The sequence below is a fragment of the Homo sapiens genome, chromosome 1, assembly GCF_000001405.40.
Source record: "Homo sapiens chromosome 1, GRCh38.p14 Primary Assembly".
Taxonomy (NCBI): domain Eukaryota; kingdom Metazoa; phylum Chordata; class Mammalia; order Primates; family Hominidae; genus Homo; species Homo sapiens.
This window is the reverse complement of record NC_000001.11, coordinates 236,185,886-236,205,302: the sequence shown is the minus strand read 5'-3', so window position 1 is coordinate 236,205,302 and position 19,417 is coordinate 236,185,886. Positions and strand designations below refer to the sequence as shown.

General features: G+C 39.4%; 1 protein-coding gene across 2 annotated transcripts in view; it reads right to left on the bottom strand.

Annotated features, from left to right (window-relative positions):
• GPR137B (G protein-coupled receptor 137B) overlaps positions 1–19,417 on the bottom strand; it is a 66,369-nt gene that overhangs the window by 3,605 nt on the left and 43,347 nt on the right. For both annotated transcript variants that reach the window (NM_003272.4, XM_017002209.3), the window contains exon 6: positions 53–177. In NM_003272.4, coding sequence (NP_003263.1) covers positions 53–177 — 125 coding nt within the window. The remainder of the gene's footprint in view (positions 1–52; positions 178–19,417) is intronic.

The following is a 19,417-nucleotide window of genomic DNA, read 5'->3' as shown; positions in this document are numbered from 1 at the left end:
GTGTAACCCTTCCCTCCTGATGAGGCTTGTCTAACATGAAGTAGGGTCTTACCCTCCCTGAAGTCCCTGAGGGGCAATGTTCCAGGCAAGGTCATCATCACTGTCATATCTTCGAGGGTTGTCAAAGAAATAAGATCTGGGACTGAATCCATGGCTGGGGACCATTCCAGGGTTGGTCTAGAAAGACAGGTAATCATTCAGCATACTTACAGACATCATGCCTTGCACCAGACAAAAATAAGATCTCTTTCTTGTAGGAGACTAAAGATGTTCTATTCATTTGAATGTAGGCTATATCTGTTCAGCTGGAATATTCATTTCAGTTACTCTTATGTTTGAGAGGGATTCGCCTTGCCTTTTATCAGTATGGGCAAAGTCTTCTATCAGAGTCTTGCTTGCAACAGTGAGTCATCATTGTTTTAATCCCTTATTGAAAAGCTAGATGATGAGTAACTATATGCCAATAAACTGTAAAATCTAGAAGAAATGGGCAAATTCCAAGACACATACAGCCTACTAAGACTAAACCGGAAAGACTAAAACCCGAACAGACCAATAACAAGTCTTTTATTCTACCTAACTAGAATTTCTCTGCTCCCTAATCCACTGAGAAAGCAATGTTTTCTCCCAGCTTTTCTTCAGTTCTTCTGTCCCTAAAACAAGGGTTCTTTTCAGAGCTCTCTTAAGGTTTTCTAAAGACTTTCACTGTTAGTAACAAGGAGAAAAAAGGCAAGAGATCAAAGCCATAATAAAAAGTCTCCCAGTAAAGAAAAGCCTGGGACCCAATGGCTTCACTGCAGAATTCTACCAAACATTTAAAGAAGAACTAATGTCAGTCATACTCAAACTAATCCAAAAAAAATAGAGGAAGAGGGAGTACTTCTACACTCATGGAGGAGGCCAGTATTACCCTGATACTAAAACCAAAGACACATAAAACTGTAGGCCAATATCTCTGATAAATATTGATGCAAAAATCTTCAACAAAATACTAGTAAACCAAATTCAACAATACATTGGAAAGATTATTCATCATGACTAAGTGGGATTTATCCATGTGATACAAGGATGGCTCAACATAGCACAAATAAATGTGACACATCATGTTAACAGAATGAAAGATAAAAACCATATGATCATCTCAATTGATGCTAAAAAAGCACTTGATAAAATTCAGTGTTCCTTCATGATAAAAACCCTCAAACCGGGGAAAGAAGAAACATACCTCAACATAATACAAGCCATATATGACAGACCCATAGCTAGTATCATACTGAATAGGGGAAAACTACAAGCCTTTCCTCTAAGATGTGGAACACACAGTCACCACTGTTATTAAACATAGTACTGGAAGTCCTAGCTAGAGCAATCAGACAAGAGAAAGGGCATCCAAATTGGAATAGAAAAAGTCAAATTAATGACTCCACAAAAAGTATGAGAACTAATAAATTCAGTAAAGTTGCACAAAAAATCAGTAGCATTTCTATATACCAAGAGTGAACAATCTGAAAAAGAAACAAAAAGTAATCCCACTTATAATAGCCACAAATACCTAGAAATTAAACAAAGAAGTGAAAGAGCTCTATAATGAAAACTATAAAACATTTAAAGAAACTGAAGAGGACACCAAAAAATGGAAAAATATTTTCTGTTCATGGATTGGAGGAATCAATATTGTTAAAATGGCCATACTACCCAAAGCAATCTACAGATTCAATGCAATCCCCATCAAAATACCAATGATACTCTTCACAGAAATAGAAAAAACAATCCTAAAATTTATACAGAACCACAAAAGACCCAGAATAGCCAAAGCTATTTTAAGCAGAACAAAACTGGGAGAATCAACATGACCTGACTTCAAATTACACTACAGAGTTATAGTAACTAAAACAGCATGGTACTGGTATAGGAACAGACACATAGGGCCAGGCATGGTGGCTCACACCTGTAATCCCAGCACTTTGGGAGGCTGAGGCAGGCAGATCATGAGGTCAGGAGATCAAGACCATCCTGGCTAACACAGTGAAACCCCATCTCTACTAAAAATACAAAAAATTAGCCGGGCGAAATGGGGGGTGCCCATAGTCCCAGCTACTCGGGAGGCTGAGACAGGAGAATGGCGTGAACCTGGGAGGCGGAGCTTGCAGTGAGCCGAGATCACGCCATTGCACTCCAGCCTGGGCGACAGAGCAAGACTCTGTCTCAAAACAAAAAAGAAAGAAAGAAAAGAAACAGACACATAGACCAATAGAACAGAATAGAGACCCCAGAAACAAATCCACACACCTACAGTGAACTCATTTTCAACAAACTGCCAAGAACATACACTGGGGAAAAGACTTCAATAAATGGTGCTGGGAAAACTAGATATCCATATGCAGAAGAATGAAACTAGACCACTATCTCTCACCAGATACAAAAATCAAAAAAAATGGATTAAAGACTTAAACCTAAGACCTCAAACTGTGAAACTACTACAAGAAAACATTGGGGAATATCGCCAAGACATGGGTCTGGGCAAAAATTTCTTGAGAGTGTCCCTATGGGCACTGCCATCATGGCAGAGGTTTGGGGCTAAAGAGCAGAGAATTTGTTTCCTGAAGAAGTGAAAGTTCAACAGGCAGGGAATGGATTTCAGATTTGCATCTGGATCTAGATTCTGTTCATCTATTCTATTTACATATAAATACTTTGAGGGGAAGATGGTGGATAGGAGATAGGGCTTACATGCAGCTCCCACTTGGACAGACAGAACAGTGTGTGGAGAGTCACACCATGGACTTTTGCTCCAGGAACCACCACAGGAGCATACCAGGAAAACTGAAGGAATTCACAGACACTTGGAAAGAAGCGGCAGGCCACTGCAAATTCTGAGAGACAGGTGAAAAACTCTGGTGCTCTCTTGAAAGTGCCACCTCCTGGCTGGAGGCCAACCACCTCAGGACATTACAGCAACTCATGACAGATCCCCTGCTCCAAGGAAGGAGAAAACAACAGCTAATTCTACTGCCTCCAACATCCTGGCTAAACAGTGGTCCTGAGTCTGTCCATGGTGGCAACTTCATTGCTAGCATAAAGCACTTAAGAAAGCCAGCATACTAAACATACTTACAACCAAGGTCTTTCACAGAGTCTACTTCAATCCCCTGCCACCTCCACAGGAGCAGGTGCTGGTATCTATAGCTGGGAGATCTGAAGATGAATTGCATCACAGGACTCTTTGCAGACATTCCCCAGCACCAGTCCAAAGCCCGGTAGCCCTGCTGGGTGACTAGACCAAGAAGAGCAATAACAATCACTGCAGTCTGGCTCACAGGAAGCCCCATCACTAGGAGAAGGGGAAGCAACCCACATCAAGGAACCACCCAGACAAAAGAATCTGACCAGCAGCTTTGAGTTCCAGATTTTTCCAGTGAAATAGTCTACCCACATGAGAAGGAATCAGAAAAGCAGTTCTGGTAATATGACAAAACAAGGTTCTATAACAAGGCTCATGCCAGCTCTCCAGCAATGGATCCAAACCAAGAAGAAATACCTGAATTGCCAGATAAATAATTAAGAAGGTTGATTATTAAGCTACTCAAAGAGATACCAGAGAAAGGTGAAAACCAACTTAAGTACTCTTTTTTAAAATACAGATATGGATGAAAATGTCTCCAGAGAAACAGATATAATAAAAAACTGTCACAACTTCTGGAAATGAAAGACGCACTTGGAGGATAAAAAATTCACTGTAAAGTTTCAACAATAGAATCAAGTAGAAAAGAAAGGACTTCAGAACTTGAAGACAAGGCAATTACCCAATCCACAAAGACAAAAAAGAATTTACAAAATGAACAGAGCCTCCAATAAATTTGTGATTATGTCAAATGGCCAAACATAATAATTGGTGTTCCTGAAGATGAAGAGAAATCTAAAGTTTGGAAAACATATTTGAGGGAATAATCAAGGAAAACTTCCCTGGCCTCACTAGAGATCTAGACATCCAAATACAAGAAGCTCAAAGAACACCTGGGAAAATAATTGCAAAAAGATGATCAGGCACAGTCAGGTTATCTAAAGTCAAGACAAAGGAAAGAATTTTAAAAGCTGTTTAACAGCAGATTTCTCAGGAGAAACCCTATAAGCCAGAAGGGATTGGGGTCCTATCTTTAGCCTCTTCAAACAAAATAATTGTCAGCCAAGAATTCTGTATCCAGCAAAACAAAGCTTCATAAATGAAGGAAAAGATACAAAGTCTTCAGACAACCAAATGCTAAGAATTTGCCACTACCAAGCCAGCACTACAAGAAATGCTAAAAGGAGTTCTAATTCTTGAAACAAAACCTCAAAATACACCAGAATAGAACCTCCTTAAAGCATAAATCTCACCAGGCCTATAAAACAATGAAAAAAAAAAGTATTCAGGCAACAACTGGCATGATGAATAAAACAGTCTCACATCTCAATACTAATGTTGGGTGTAAATGGCCTAAATGCTCCATTTAAAAGATACAGAATGGCAGACTAGGTAAAAATCCACAAATCAAGTATCTGCTGTCTTCAAGAGACTCAACTAATGCATAAGTACTCACATAAACTTAAGGTAAAGGGGTGGAAAAAGATATTCCATGCAAATGAAAACAAAAAGTAAGCAGGAGTAGCTATTCTTTTATCAGACAAAATAGACTTTAAAGCATCAACAGTTAAGACAAAGAGAGACATTATTTATTAATAAAAGGATCAGTCCAACAGGAAAATATCACAATCCTAAATATATATGCACCTAATATGGGAGCCCCCAAATTTATAAAACAATTATTATTAGACATTAAGAAATGAGATAGCAACACCATAGTGGGGTACTTCAGTACTCCACTGACAGCACTAGACAAGCCATCAAGACAGAAAGTTAACAAAGAAACAATGGACTTAAATTATACCCTAGAACAAACGGACTTAACAGATACTTACAGAACATTCTACCCAACAACTGCAGAATATACATTCTTTTCATTGGCACATAGAACATTCTCCAAGATAGACCATATGATAGGCTATGAAATGAGTCTAAATCAATTTAAGAAAATTGAGATTATATCAAGTACTCTCTCAGACCACAGTGGAATATAAAATTGGAGATTAACTCCAAAAGGAACCCTCAAAACTATATAAATGCATGGAAATTAATGTGCTCCTGAATGATCTTTGGGTCAACAATGAAATCAAGATGGAAATTAAATTCTTAGAACTGAATGATAATAATGACACAACTTACCCAAACCTCTGAGGCACAGCAAAAGTGGGGCTGAGAGGAAAGTTGACAGCATTAAATTCCTACATCAAAAAAGTCTGGAAGAGCACAAATAGAAAATCTAAGGTCCTACCTCAAGGAATTAGAGAAACAAGAACAAACCAAACCCAAACCCAGCAGAAGAAAAGAAATAACAAAGATCAGAGCAGAACTAATGAAATTGAAACAAAAAGGCAATACAAAAGATAAATGAAACAAAAAGCTGATTCTTTGAAAAGATAAACAAAATTGATAGACCATTAGTGAGATTAACCAAGAAGACAGAAGATCCAAATAAGCTCAATTAGAAACAAAATGGGAGATATTACAACCGATACCACAGAAATACAAAAGATCATTCAAGGTTACTACGAACACCTTTACAGAAACTAGAAAATCAAAATATACAACCCTCCTAGATTAAATTAGGAAGAAATAGAAACTGAACATAACAACTAGCGAGATCGAAACAGCAATAAAAACATTTCCAACAACAAAAAAAGTCCAGGACCAGGTGGATTCACAGCTAATTTCTATCAGATATTCAAAGAAGAATTGGTACCAATCTTATTCTGAAACCGTTCCAAAAGATAGTGAAAGAGGGAATCCTCCCTAAATCATTCTATGAAACCAGTATCACCCTAATACCAAAACCAGGAAAGGACATAGCAAAACTATGTTTATCCCTGATGAACATAGATGTAAAAATCCTCAACAAAATATTAATAGCTAACTGAATCCAACAGCATATCAAAAAGATAATCCACCATGATCAAGTGGGTTTCATACCAGGGATGCAGGGATGGTTTAACATACATGAGTCAATAAATGGGCTATATCACATAAACAGAATTAAAAACAAAAATCATATGATTATCTCAATGGATGCAGAAAAAGCATTTGAAAAAATCCAGCATCTGTTTAGGACTAAAGCCCTCAGAAAAACTGGCATAGAAGGGACATACATCAAGATAATAAAAGCCATCTATGACAAACCCACAGCCAACATTATACTGAATCAGGAAAAGTTGAAAGCATTCCACCTGAGAAATGGAACAAGACAAGGAAACCCTCTTTCACCACTTCTATTCAACATAGTACTGGAAGTCCTTAGCCAGAGCAATCAGACAACAGCAAGAGGGCACCCAAACCAGTAAAGAGTAAGTCAAACTGTCACTGTTCACCAATGACATAATCGCATACCTAGAAAACCCTAAAGACTTATCCTAAAAGCTCCTAAAACTGATCACCAACAACGACCAAGCTGAGAATCAAATAAGGAACTCAGCCCCTTTTACAACAGCTGCAAAAACAAAATACTTAGGAATATACCTAACCAAGGAGGTGAAAGCTCTCTACAAGGAAAGCTACAAAACACTGCTAAAAGAAATCACAGATGACAGAAACAAATGGAAACACATCCCCCATGCTCACAGATGGGTAGAATCAATATTATGAAAGTGACCATACTGCCAAAAGCAATCTACAAATTCAATGCAATTCCCATCAAGATACCATCATCAGGCTGGATACAGTGGCTCACACCTGTAATCCCAGCACTTTGGGAGGCCAGGCAGGTAGATCACTTCAGGTCAGTAGTTCGAGACCAGCCTGGACAACATGGCAAAACCCTGTCTCTACTAAAAAATGCAAAAGTTAGCCAGGTGTGGTGGTGCATACCTGTAATCACAGCTACTTTGGAGGCTGAGGCACAAGAATTACTTGAACCTGGGAGGCACAGATTGCAGTGAGCCAATATCACACCACTGCACTCCAGCCTGGACGACAGAGCAAGACTCTGTCTCAAAAAAACAAAAAGGTCATCATTCTTCACAGAAATAGAAAAAATTCTAAAATTCGTATGGAACCAAAAAAGATCGTGCATAGCCAAAGCAAGACTAAGCAAAAAGAACAAATCTGGAGGTATCACATTACCCAGCTTCCAACTATATTACAAGGCTATAGTTACCAAAACAGCATAGTACTCGTATAAGAATAGGCAGGCAGGGCCGGATGCAGTGGCTCAAGCCTGAAATCCCAGCACTTTGGGAGGCCGAGGCGGGTGGATCACTTGAGGTCAGGAGTTCAAGACCAGCCTGGTCAACATAGTGAAACCTCGTCTCTACTAAAAATACAAAAATTAGCTGCGCATGGCGGTAGATGCCTGTAATCCCACCTACTCAGGAGGCTGAGGCAGGAGAATCACTTGAACCTGGGAGGCGGAGGTTCCAATGAGCCGGGATTGTGCCACTGTGCTCCAACCTGGGTGACAGAGTGAGGCAGGTACCCCAATGGAACAGAATAGAGAACCCAGAAATAAGGCCAAATATGTACAGACAACTGATCTTCAACAACACAAATAAAAACATAAAGTGGGGAAAGGACACCCTGTTCAACAAATGGTGCTGGGATAATTGGCAAGCCACATGTAGAACAATGAAGCTGGATCCTCATCTCTCACCGTATACAAAAATCAACTCAAGATGGATCAAAGACTTAAATCTAAGACCTGAAACCAGAAAAATTCTAGAAGATAAATCAGAAAAACTCTTCTAGACATTGTCTTAGGCAAAGAGATCATGACCAAGAATCCAAAAGCAAATAAAACAAAAACTAAGATAAATACATGGGACCTAATTAAACAAAAAGTCTTCTGTACAGCAAAGGAAATAATCAGCAGAGTAAACAGACAAGTCATAGAGTAGGAGAAAATATTCACAGACTATGCATCCAGCAATGGACTAATATCCAAAATCTTCAAGAACTCAAACATATCAGCAAGAAAAAAAAACAACTAATCCCATCCAAAAGTGGGCTAAGGACATGAATAGACAATTCTCAAAAGAAGATATCCATATGGCCAACAAACATGAAAAAATCCTCAACATCACTAATTCTCAGAGGAATGCAAACCAAAACCACAATGAGATGCCCCATACCTTACTCCTGCAAGAATGACCATAATTCAGAAATAAAAAAATAACAGATGTTGGCATGGATGTAGTAAAAAAGAACACTTTTATACTGCTGGTGGGAATCCCACTTACTGGGTATCTACCCAGAGGTAAAGGAGTCATTATATGAAAAAGACACTTGTGCAGGCATGTTTATAGCCACACAATCCACAGTTCCCAAAATACAAAAATATGGAACCAGCCTAAATGCCCATCAACCAACTAGTGGATAAAGAAAAATGGTATATATATACCATGGACTACTACTCAGCCATAAAAAGGAATGAAATAGCATCCACAACAACCTGGATGGAGTTGGAGACCATTATTCTAAGTGAAATAACTCTCAGGAATGGAAAACCAAACATTATATCTTCTCACTTATAAGCAGGAGCTGAGCTATGAAGATGCAAAGGGATAAGAGCAATATAATGGAATTGGGGACCTGGGGGAAGGGTGGAAGAGGGTGAGGGATAAAAGACTACACATTGGGTACAGTGTACAATGCTAAGGTAATGGGTGCACCAAAATCTCAGCAGTCACCACTAAACAACTTTTCCATGTGACCAAACACTACCTATTCCCCAAAAACTTTTGAAATTAAGACAAAAATTTAAAAATAATATTAATTCTTGGCCACGCACAGTGGCTCATGCCTGTAATCCCAGCACTTTGGGAGGCTGAGGCAGGTGGATGACTTGAGGTCAGGAGTTCGAGACCAGGCTGGCCAACACGGTGAAGACCCATCTATACCAAAAATACAAAAATTAGCTGGGTGTGGTAGCTCATGCCTGTAGTCCCAGCTACTCAGGAGGCTGACGCAGGAGAATCACTTGAACCCAGAAAGCAGAGATTGCAGTAAGCCAAGATCATGCTACTGTACTCCAGCCTGGGCAACAGAGCAAGACTCCATCTCAAAAATAAATAAAAATAAAAATAAATGAATTCATGAGCAATATCCTACAAGCAACCAAAGCAAAATGGAAAAATAGGATCATATCAAGTTAAAAGCTTTTGCACAGTAAAAGAAACAACAAAGTCAAGACAACCCACAGAATGGGAGAAAATATTTGCAAACTACCCATCTGACAAGGGATTAACAACCAGAATATTAGGAAAAGGTGTAGTAATCAAAATTAAAAATGGGCAAAAGATTTGAACAGACATTTCTCGAAAGGCAACATACAGATGGCAAACAGGCATATCAAAAAGTGTTCATCAATGATCATCAGAGAAATGCAAATCAAAACTACAGTGAGATATTACCTCACTGCAGTTATAATCGCTTATATCTAAAAGGCAGTAACAAACGCTGGCAAGGATGTGGAGAAAAGGGAACCCTTGAACACTGTTGGTGAGAATGTATATTAGTACAACCACTATGGAGAACAGTTTGGCAGTTCCTCAAAAATAAAAATTGAGCTACCACATGATCCAGCAATCCCACTGCTGGTATCTACCCAAAAGAAGGGAAATCAGGATATTGAAGAGATATCTGCAATCCTGTGTTTGTTGCAGCACTGTTCACAATAGCTAAGCTTTGGAAGCAACCTAAGTGTTCATCAGCAGATGAATGGATAAAGAAAATGTGGAACATATACAGAATGGGGTACCACTCAGCCATAAAAAAGAATGAAATCCAGTAATTTGGAACAACATGGATGAACTGGAGATGATTATGTTAAGTGAAATAAGCCAGACACAGACAAACATCGCATGTTCTCACTTATTTGTGGGATCTAAACTCAAACAATTGAACTCATGGACACAGAGAGGAGAAGGATGGTTGCCAGAGGCTGGGAAGGGTAGTGGCGGGGGGAGAGTATGGTTAATGGGGAAAAAAAAAAAAAGAATTTTAGTGAATGAATAAGACTTACTATTTGATAGCACTAACAACAGGGTGGACTATATAGTCAATAATAACTGTACATTTTAAAATAACTAAAAGAGTGTGATTGGATTGTTTGTAAAACAAAGGATAAATGCTTGGGATGGAGACACCATTCTCCATGATGTGAAATAATCATCATGCCTGTATCAAAACATCTCATGTACCCCATAAATATACACACCTATTATCTATGTACCTACAAAAAAATTTTTAAAAGCTAGATGATGCCCAAATTAGCCAGAATAAAGTAGATAGTTCAATTTGGATATAAATCATGAGAGCAGTCATAACAATGGTGAAATCATTTGGGGAGGATTTCTCATCCCATTTCCATCTCCTGCCTCTATAATCATTTCATCCTGTTTCTGCCCCCAAACTGAGTTTACCTCTCAAAAAATTTCCAATGACTGGTCTCAGGTACACCCTAGAGGTCATTGCCAGTTTTCAGTATCACAGCTGCCCTGGGATGACTGTTGGGGTTTGAAAAGCCTTTTCTGCCAGCAGCTTCTAAAAAGTAAAGTTGTCTTTGTCAGGAAAGCCTAAACAAGATCAGAACTAGATTATATGGTACACCAAATCAGGCATATGTTTTGACATCATTGTTCTTAACATCAGTGACCTATTTAAAAGTTAATAGAACATGAACAGAGGTGGCCACATGACGGCTATCTAAATGTGAATTCCTGCTTTGCTAAGACTAATTGCAGCCAAACATAAGGAGCAAAGTGGAACTAACACAAGGTGGATTGCCTTAAAATTTACTCTTTTTAATAGTTTAAGAATACCTATGAGCCACGCGCAAAAGAATGAAGTTGGATCCTTATCTCACACCATATACAAAAAATAACTCAAAATGTATTAAAGACCAAATGTAAGAACAAAAACTACAAAACTCTTAGAAAAAAATATAGGGGCAAGTTTTCAGGGGCAAATACAGATGCTTCTCAAAATTATGATGAGGTTACATTCTGATAAACTCATTGTAAGTTGAAAACAAATAAAAAATACACACCATAGAGTATCAGTTGTTGACCCCTATGATCGCATGGCTGACTGAGAGCTGTGCCTCACTGCTCTATACATCTTGAGAGATTATCATACCCCATATTGTTAGCCTAGGAAAAGATTAAAAAATTCAAAATTTCAATTATAGTTTCTACTGAATGTGTCCTGCTTTCACACCATCTGTAAAGTTGAAAAATTGTAAGTTGAACTGTTGTAAATCAGGGACCATCAGTATACGATGTGGCAAAGGGTTCTTGGGTATGACACCAGAACACGAGCAACAAAAGATAAATACAGTGGACAAAAGTAAAAGCTTTTGTGCTTCAAAGGATACCAATCAAGAAAGTGAAAAGACAGCTACAGAATGAGAGAAAATATGTGCAAATCATATACCTGACAAGGGACTTAAGAGTATATTTAAAACATATAAAGAACTCTTACAATTCAATAATAAAAAGACAACCCAGTTTAAAAATGGACAAAGGATGTGAACAGACATTTCTCCAAAGAGGATATACAAATGACCACTAAGCACACAAAAAGATCCTCGACAAACTTAGTCATCAGAGAAATATACATCAGAAGCCAAAAGGAGATATCATTTAATACACATTATGATATCTAGAATCAAAAAGTCAGATAACAAGTGCTAGGAGCGTGGAGGAATCAGAACCTTCATACACTGCTGGTGAGAATGTAAAATGGTGCTGTCTCTGTGGAAAATAGTCTGGCAGTTTTTCAGAAAGTGACACTCAGAAATACCATATGACCCAGCAATTCCACTCCTAAGAATATACCCGAGAGAAATGAAAACATATGTTCACACAGAAACTTATACACAAATGTTTATAACAGCCTTATTCATCATAGCCAAATGGTGGAAATGACCCAAATGTCCACTCATATCCACAAATGGTTTCCTTAAATGTGTCCTTTTTATCATTTCAAACTTCTTGATGTGGGTCAAGAAGTTTGAAATTATAGTCCAGGCACAGTGGCTCACACCTGTAATCCCAGCACTTTGGGAGGCCAAGGCAGGTGGATCGCCTGAGTTCAGGAGTTCAAGACCAGCCTGGCCAACATAATGAAACCCCATCTCTACTAAAAATACAAAAATTAGCCAGGCGTGGTAGCAGGCACCTGTAATCCCAGCTATTTGGGAGTCTGAGGCAGGGGAATCGCTTGAACCCAGGAGGCAGAGGTTGCAGTGAGCTGAGATCACCCCACTCCACTCCAGCCTGGGTGACAGAGCCAGACTCTGTATCCAAATAAACAAACAAACAAAAAAAGCTTGAAATGAAATGATAAAAAGGAAACATTTAAGAAAAACTTAAAATTCCTTAAAACCAGTGATGTCATACAGCGATAAAAACATATCACCTATTAGATGGCCGAATAGGAACAGCTCCAGTCTGCAGCTCCCAGCGAGATCGACACAGAAGGTGGGTGATTTCTGCATTTCCAACTGAGGTACCTGGTTCTTCTCACTGGGACTGCTTGGACGGTGGGTGCAGCTCACGGAGGGTGAGCCGAAGCAGGGTGGGGTGTCGCCTCGATCGAGAAGTGCAAGGAGTCAGGGAATTTTCTCCCCTACCCAAGGGAAGCCATGAGGGACTGAACCTGAGGAACTGTGCACTCCGGCCCAGATACTGCACTTTTCCGACAGTCTTCACAACCCGCAGACCAGGAGATTCCCTCTGGTGCCTACCTCTCCAGGGCCCTAGGTTTCAAGCACAAAACTGGGCGGCCATTTGGGCAGACACTGAACCAGCTGCAGGAGGTTTTTTGTTTTTTTTTTTTTCCCCATACCCCAGTGGCATCTGGAACGCCAGTGAGACAGAACCATTCACTCCCCTGGAAAGGGGGCTGAAGCCAGGGAGCCAAGTAGTCTGGCTCGGTAGGTCCCACCCCAACGGAGCCCAGCAAACTAAGATCCACTGGTTTGAAATCCTCGCTGCCAGCACAGAAGCAGTCTGAGGTCGACCTGGGACACTCAAGCTTGGTGTGGGGAGGGACATCCGCCATTGCTGAGGCTTGAGTAGGTGGTTTTACCCTCACAGTGTAAACAAAGCCGCTGGGAAGTTCAAACTGGGCAGAGCCCATGGCAGCTCAGCAAGGCCACTGTGGCCAGACTGCCAGATTTCTCCTCTCTGGGCAGGGCATCTCTGAAAAAAAGGCAGCAGCCCCAGTCAGGGACTTATAGATAAAACCCCCATCTCCCTGGGACAGAGCACTTGGGGGAAGGGGCAGCTGTGGGCACAGCTTCAGCAGACTTAAATGTGCCTGCCTGATGGCTCTGAAGAGAGAAGGAGATCTCTCAGCACAGCGTTCAGGCTCTGCTAAGGGTCAGACTGCCGCCTTCAGTGGGTCGATGACCCCCATGTATCCTGACTGGGAGATACCTCCCAGTAGGGGCTGACAGACACCTCATACAGGAGAGCTCTGGCTGGCATCTGGCAGGTGCCCCTCTGGGACAAAGCTTCCAGAGGAAAGAACAGGCAGCAATCTTTGCTGTTCTGCAGCCTCCGCTGGTGATACCCAGGCAAACAGGGTCTGGAGTGGACCTCCTGCAAACTCCAGCAGACCTGCAGCAGAGGGGTCCGACTGTTAGAAGGAAAACTAACAAACAGAAAGGAAGAGCATGTCCACTCAGAGACCCCATCCGAAGGTCACCAACATCAAAGACCAAAGGTAGATAAATCCACAAAGATAGGGAGAAACCAGCACAAAAAGGCTGAAAATTCCAAAAACCAGAATGCCACTTCTCCTCCAAAGGATCACAACTCCTCGCCAGCAAGGGAACAAAACTGGACAGAGAATGAGTTTGATGAACTGACAGAAGTACGCTTCAGAAGGTGGGTAATAATAAACTCCTCCGAGCTAAAGAAGCATGTTCTAACCCAATGCAAGGAAGCTAAGAACCTTGAAAAAAGGTTAGATGAATTGCTACCTAGAATAACCACTTTAGAGGAGAATATAAATGACCTGATGGAGCTGAAAAACATAGCACAAGAACTTCGTGAAGCATACACAAGTATCAAGAGCCAAATCGATCAAGTGGAAGAAAGGATATGAGATTGAAGATCAACTTAATGATACAAAGCAAGAAGACAAGATTAGAGAAAAAAGAATAAAAAGGAATGAACAAAGCCTCCAAGAAACATGGAACTATGTGAAAAGACCAAATCTACATTTGATTGGTGTACCTGAAAGTGATGGGGAGAATGGAACCAAGTTGGAAAACACTCTTCAGGATATTATCCAGGAGAACTTCTCCAACCTAGCAAGACAGGCCAACATTCAAATTCAGGAAATACAGAGAACACCACAAAGATACTCCTTAAGAAGGGCAAGACACATAATCGTCAGACACATAATCGTCAGATTCACCTAGGTTGAAATGAAGGAAAAAATGTTAAGGGCAGCTAGACAGAAAGGTCGGGTTACCCACAAAGGGAAGCCCATCAGACAAAGAGCAGCTGTCTCTGCAGAAACCCTACAAGCCAAAAGAGAGTGGGGGCCAATATTCAACATTCTTAAAGAAAAAAATTTTCAACCCAGAATTTCATATCCAGCCAAACTAAGCTTCATAAGTAAAGGAGAAATAAAATCCATTATAGACAAGCAAATGCTGAGAGACTTTGTCACCACCAGGCCTGCCTTACAAGACCTCCTGAAGGAAGCACTAAATATGGAAAGGAACAACCAGTACCAGCCACTGCAAAAACATATCAAATTGTAAAGCCCGTCAACACTATAAAGAAGCTGCATCAACTAATGGGCAAAATAATCAGCTAACATCATAATGTCAGGATCAAATTCACACATAACAATATTAACCTTAAATGTAAATGGGCTAAATGCCCCCATTAAAAGACACAGACTGGCAAATTGGATAAAGAGTCAAGACCCATCACTATGCTGTATTCAGGAGACCCATCTCACGTGAAAAGACATACATAGGCTCAAAATAAAGGGACGGAGGAATATTTACCAAGCAAATGGAAAGCAAAAAAAAAAAAAAAAAAAGAAGAAGCAGGAGTTGCAGTCCTAATCTCTGATAAAACAGACTTTAAACCAACAAAGATCAAAAGAGACAAAAAAAGGCCATTACATAATGGTAAAGGGATCAATGCAACAAGAACAGCTAACTATCCTAAATATATATGCACCCAATACAGGAGCACCCAGATTCATAAAGCAAGTTCTTACAGACCTACAAAGACACTTAGACCCCCACACAACAATAATGGGAGACTTTAACAACCCACTGTCAATATTAGACAGATAAATGAGACATGTAATTAACATGGATATTCAGGGACTTGAACTCAGCTCTAGACCAAGCGGACCTAGCAGACATCTACAGAACTCTCCACCCCAAATTAACAGAGTATACATTCTTCTCAGCACGTCATCTCATTTATTCTAAAATTGACCACATAATTGGAAGTAAAACACTGCTCAGCAAATGCAAAAGAACAGAAATCATAACAGTCTCTCAGACCACAGTGCAATCAAATTAGAACTCAGGATTAAGAAACTCACTCAAAACTGCACAACCAATGGAAACTGAATAACCTGCTCCTGAATGACTACTGGGTAAGTAAGAAAATTAAGGCAGAAATAAAGATCTTCTTTGAAACCAATGAGAAAAAGACATAATGTACCAGAATCTCTGGGACACATTTAAAGCAGTGTGTAGAGGGAAATTTACAGCACAAAATGCCCACAAGAGAAAGCAGGAAAGATCTAAAATTGACACCCTAACATCACAATTAAAAGAACTTGGGAAGCAAGAGCAAACAAATTCAAAAGCTAGCAGAAGAAATAACTAAGATCAGAGCAGAGCTGAAGGAGATAGAGACACGAAAAACCCTTCAAAAAAAATCAATGAATCCAGGAGCTGGTTTTTTTGAAAAGATCAACAAAATGGATAAACCGCTAGCCAGACTAATAAAGAAGAAAAGAGAGAAGAATCAAATAGACGCAATAAAAAATGATAAAGGGGATATCACCACCAATCCCACAGAAATACAAACTACCATCAAAGAATACTATAAACACATCTATGCAAATAAACTAGAAGATCTAGAGGAAATGGATAAATTCCTGGACACATACACCCTCCCAAGTCTAAACCAGGAGAAGTAGAATCCCTGAATAGACCAATAACAAGTTCTGAAATTGAGGCAGTAATTAATAACCTACCAACCGAAAAAAGTCCAGGACCAGAAAGATTCACAGCCGAATTCTACCAGAGGTACAAAGAGGAGCTGGTACCATTCCTTCTGAAACTACTCTAAACAACAGAAAAAGAGGGAATCCTCCCTGACTCATTTTATGAGGCCAGCATCATCCTAATACCAAAACCTGGCAGAGACACAACAACAAAAAGAAAATTTCAGACCAATATCTCTGATGAACATCAATGTGAAAATCCTCAATAACGTACTGGCAAACCGAATCCAGCAGCACATTAAAAAGCTTATCCACCACGATCAAGTCAGCTTCATATCTGGGATAGAAGGCTGGTTCGACATACACAAATCAATAAACGTAATCCATCACATAAACAGAACCAATGACAAAAACTACATGATGATCTCAATAGATGCAGAAAAGACCTTCGACAAAATTCAACACCCGTTCATGGTAAAAACTCTCCATAAACTAGGTATCGATGGAATGTATCTCAAAATAATAGCTATTTATGACAAACCCACAGCCAATACCATACTGAATGGGTAAAAACAGGAAGCATTCCCTTTGAAAACCCGCACAAGGCAAGGATGCCCTCTCTCACCACTCCTATTCAACATAGTATTGGAAGTTCTGGCCAGGGCAATCAGCCAAGAGAAAGAAAGAAAGCATATTGAAATAGGAAAAGAGGAAGTCAATTGTCTCTTTTTGCAGATGACATGATCATATATTTAGAAAACCCCACTGTCTCAGCCCAAAATCTCCTTAAGCTGATAAACAACTTCAGCAAAGTCTCAGGATACAAAATCAATGTGCAAAAATCACAAGCATTCCTATACACCAATAACAGAGAGCCAAATCATGAGTGAACTCCCATTCACAACTGCTACTAAAAGAAGAAAATACCTAGGAATACAACTTACAAGGGATATGAAGGACCTCTCCAAGGAGAACTACAAACTGCTGCTCAAGGAAATAAGAGAGGACACAAACAAATGGAAAAACATTCCATGCTCATGGATAGGAAGAATCAATATTGTGAAAATGGCCATACTGCCCAAAGTAATTTACAGATTCAATGCTATCCCCATCAAGCTACCACTGACTTTCTTCACAGAATTGGAAAAAACTACTTTAAACTTCATATGGAACCAAAGAAGGGCCCACATAGCCGAGACAATCCTAAGCAAAAAGAACAAAGCTGGAGGCATCATGCTACCTGATTTCAAACTATGCTACAAGGCTACAGTAACCAAAACAGCATGGTACTGGTACCAAAACAGATATATAGACCAATGGAACAGAACAGAAGCCTCAGAAATAATACCACACATGTACAACCATCTGATCTTTGACAAACCTGACACAAACAAGCAATGGGGAAAGATTTCCTATTTAATAAATGGTGTTGGGAAAACTGGGTAGCCATATGCAGAAAACTGAAACTGGACCCCTTCCTTACACCTTATACAAAAGTTAACTCAAGATGGATTAAAGACTTAAACGTAAGACCTAAAACCATAAAAATCCTAGAAGAAAACCTAGGCAATACCATTCAGGACATAGGCATGGGCAAAGACTTCATTCTAAAACACCAAAAGCAATGGCAACAAAAGCCAAAATTGACAAATGGGATCTAATTAAATTAAAGAGCTTCTGCACAGCAAAAGAAACTATCATCAGAGTAAACAGGCAACCTACAGAATGGGAGAAAATTTTTGCAATCTATCCATCTGACAAAGGGCTAATATCCAGAATCTACAAAGAACTTAAATTTACAGGAAAAAAACAACCCCATCAAAAAGTGGGCAAAGGATATGAACAGATACTTCTCAAAAGAAGTGCAGCCAATAAACATGAAAAATATGCTCATCACTGGTCATCAGAGAAATGCAAATCAAAACTACAATGAGATACCATCTCACAGCAGTTAGAATGGCGATCATTAAAAAGTCAGGAAACAACAGATGCTGGAGAGGACATGGAGAAACAGGAACGCTTTTACACTGTTGGTGGTAGTGTAAATTAGTTCAACCATTGTGGAAGACAGTGTGGCAATTCCTCAAGGATCTAGAACTAGAAATACCATTTGACCCAGCAATGCCACTACTGGGTATATACCCAAAGGATTATAAATCATTCCACTATAAAGACACATGCACATGTACATGCACACGTATGTTTACTGCAGCACTATTCACAAGAGCAAAGACTTGGAACCAACCCAAATGTCCATCAATGATAGACTGGATAAAGAAAATGTGGCACATACATACCATGGAATACTATGCAGCCATAAAAAGGGATGAGTTCATGTCCTTTGCAGGGACATGGATGAAGCTGGAAACCATCATTCTCAGCAAGCTGACACAAGAACAGAAAACCAAACACCGCATGTTCTCACTCATAAGTGGGAATTGAACAATGAGAACACATGGACACAGGGAGGGGAACATCACACACTGGGGCCTGTAGGGGGGTGGGGAGGTAGGGGAGGGAGAGCATTAGGAGAAATACCTCATGTAGGTGATGGGTTGATGGGTGCAGCAAACCACCACAGCTCATGTATACCCATGTAACAAAACTACACATTCTGCACATGTACCCCAGAACTTAATAATATATATTATATAATATATATAATTATATATTATTTATATTATTATATATAATATATATTATATATTATTTATATTATTATATATAATATATAATATATATTATATATTATTTATATTATTATATATTATATTATATATAATATATAGTATAATAATAAAAAAAAATGATGTCCATCAATGGATGAATGGGTAAGCAAAATGTGGTCTATCCATACAATGAAATATTTATTTGGCAATAAAAAAGAATTAAGTACAAATATATGTTACAACGTAGACGAATCTTGAAAAAACATTCTGCTAAGTGAAAGAAGCCAGTCAAAAAACCCACATGCCATATGATTCCATTCATATGAAAGTCGAGACTAGGGAAATCTATAGACACAGGAGATTATAGTGGCTTATGCCTGGGGGTAGGGCAGGGACAGAAAGGAAATGGGGAATGACAGATGATAGTATGGGGTTTCCTTTT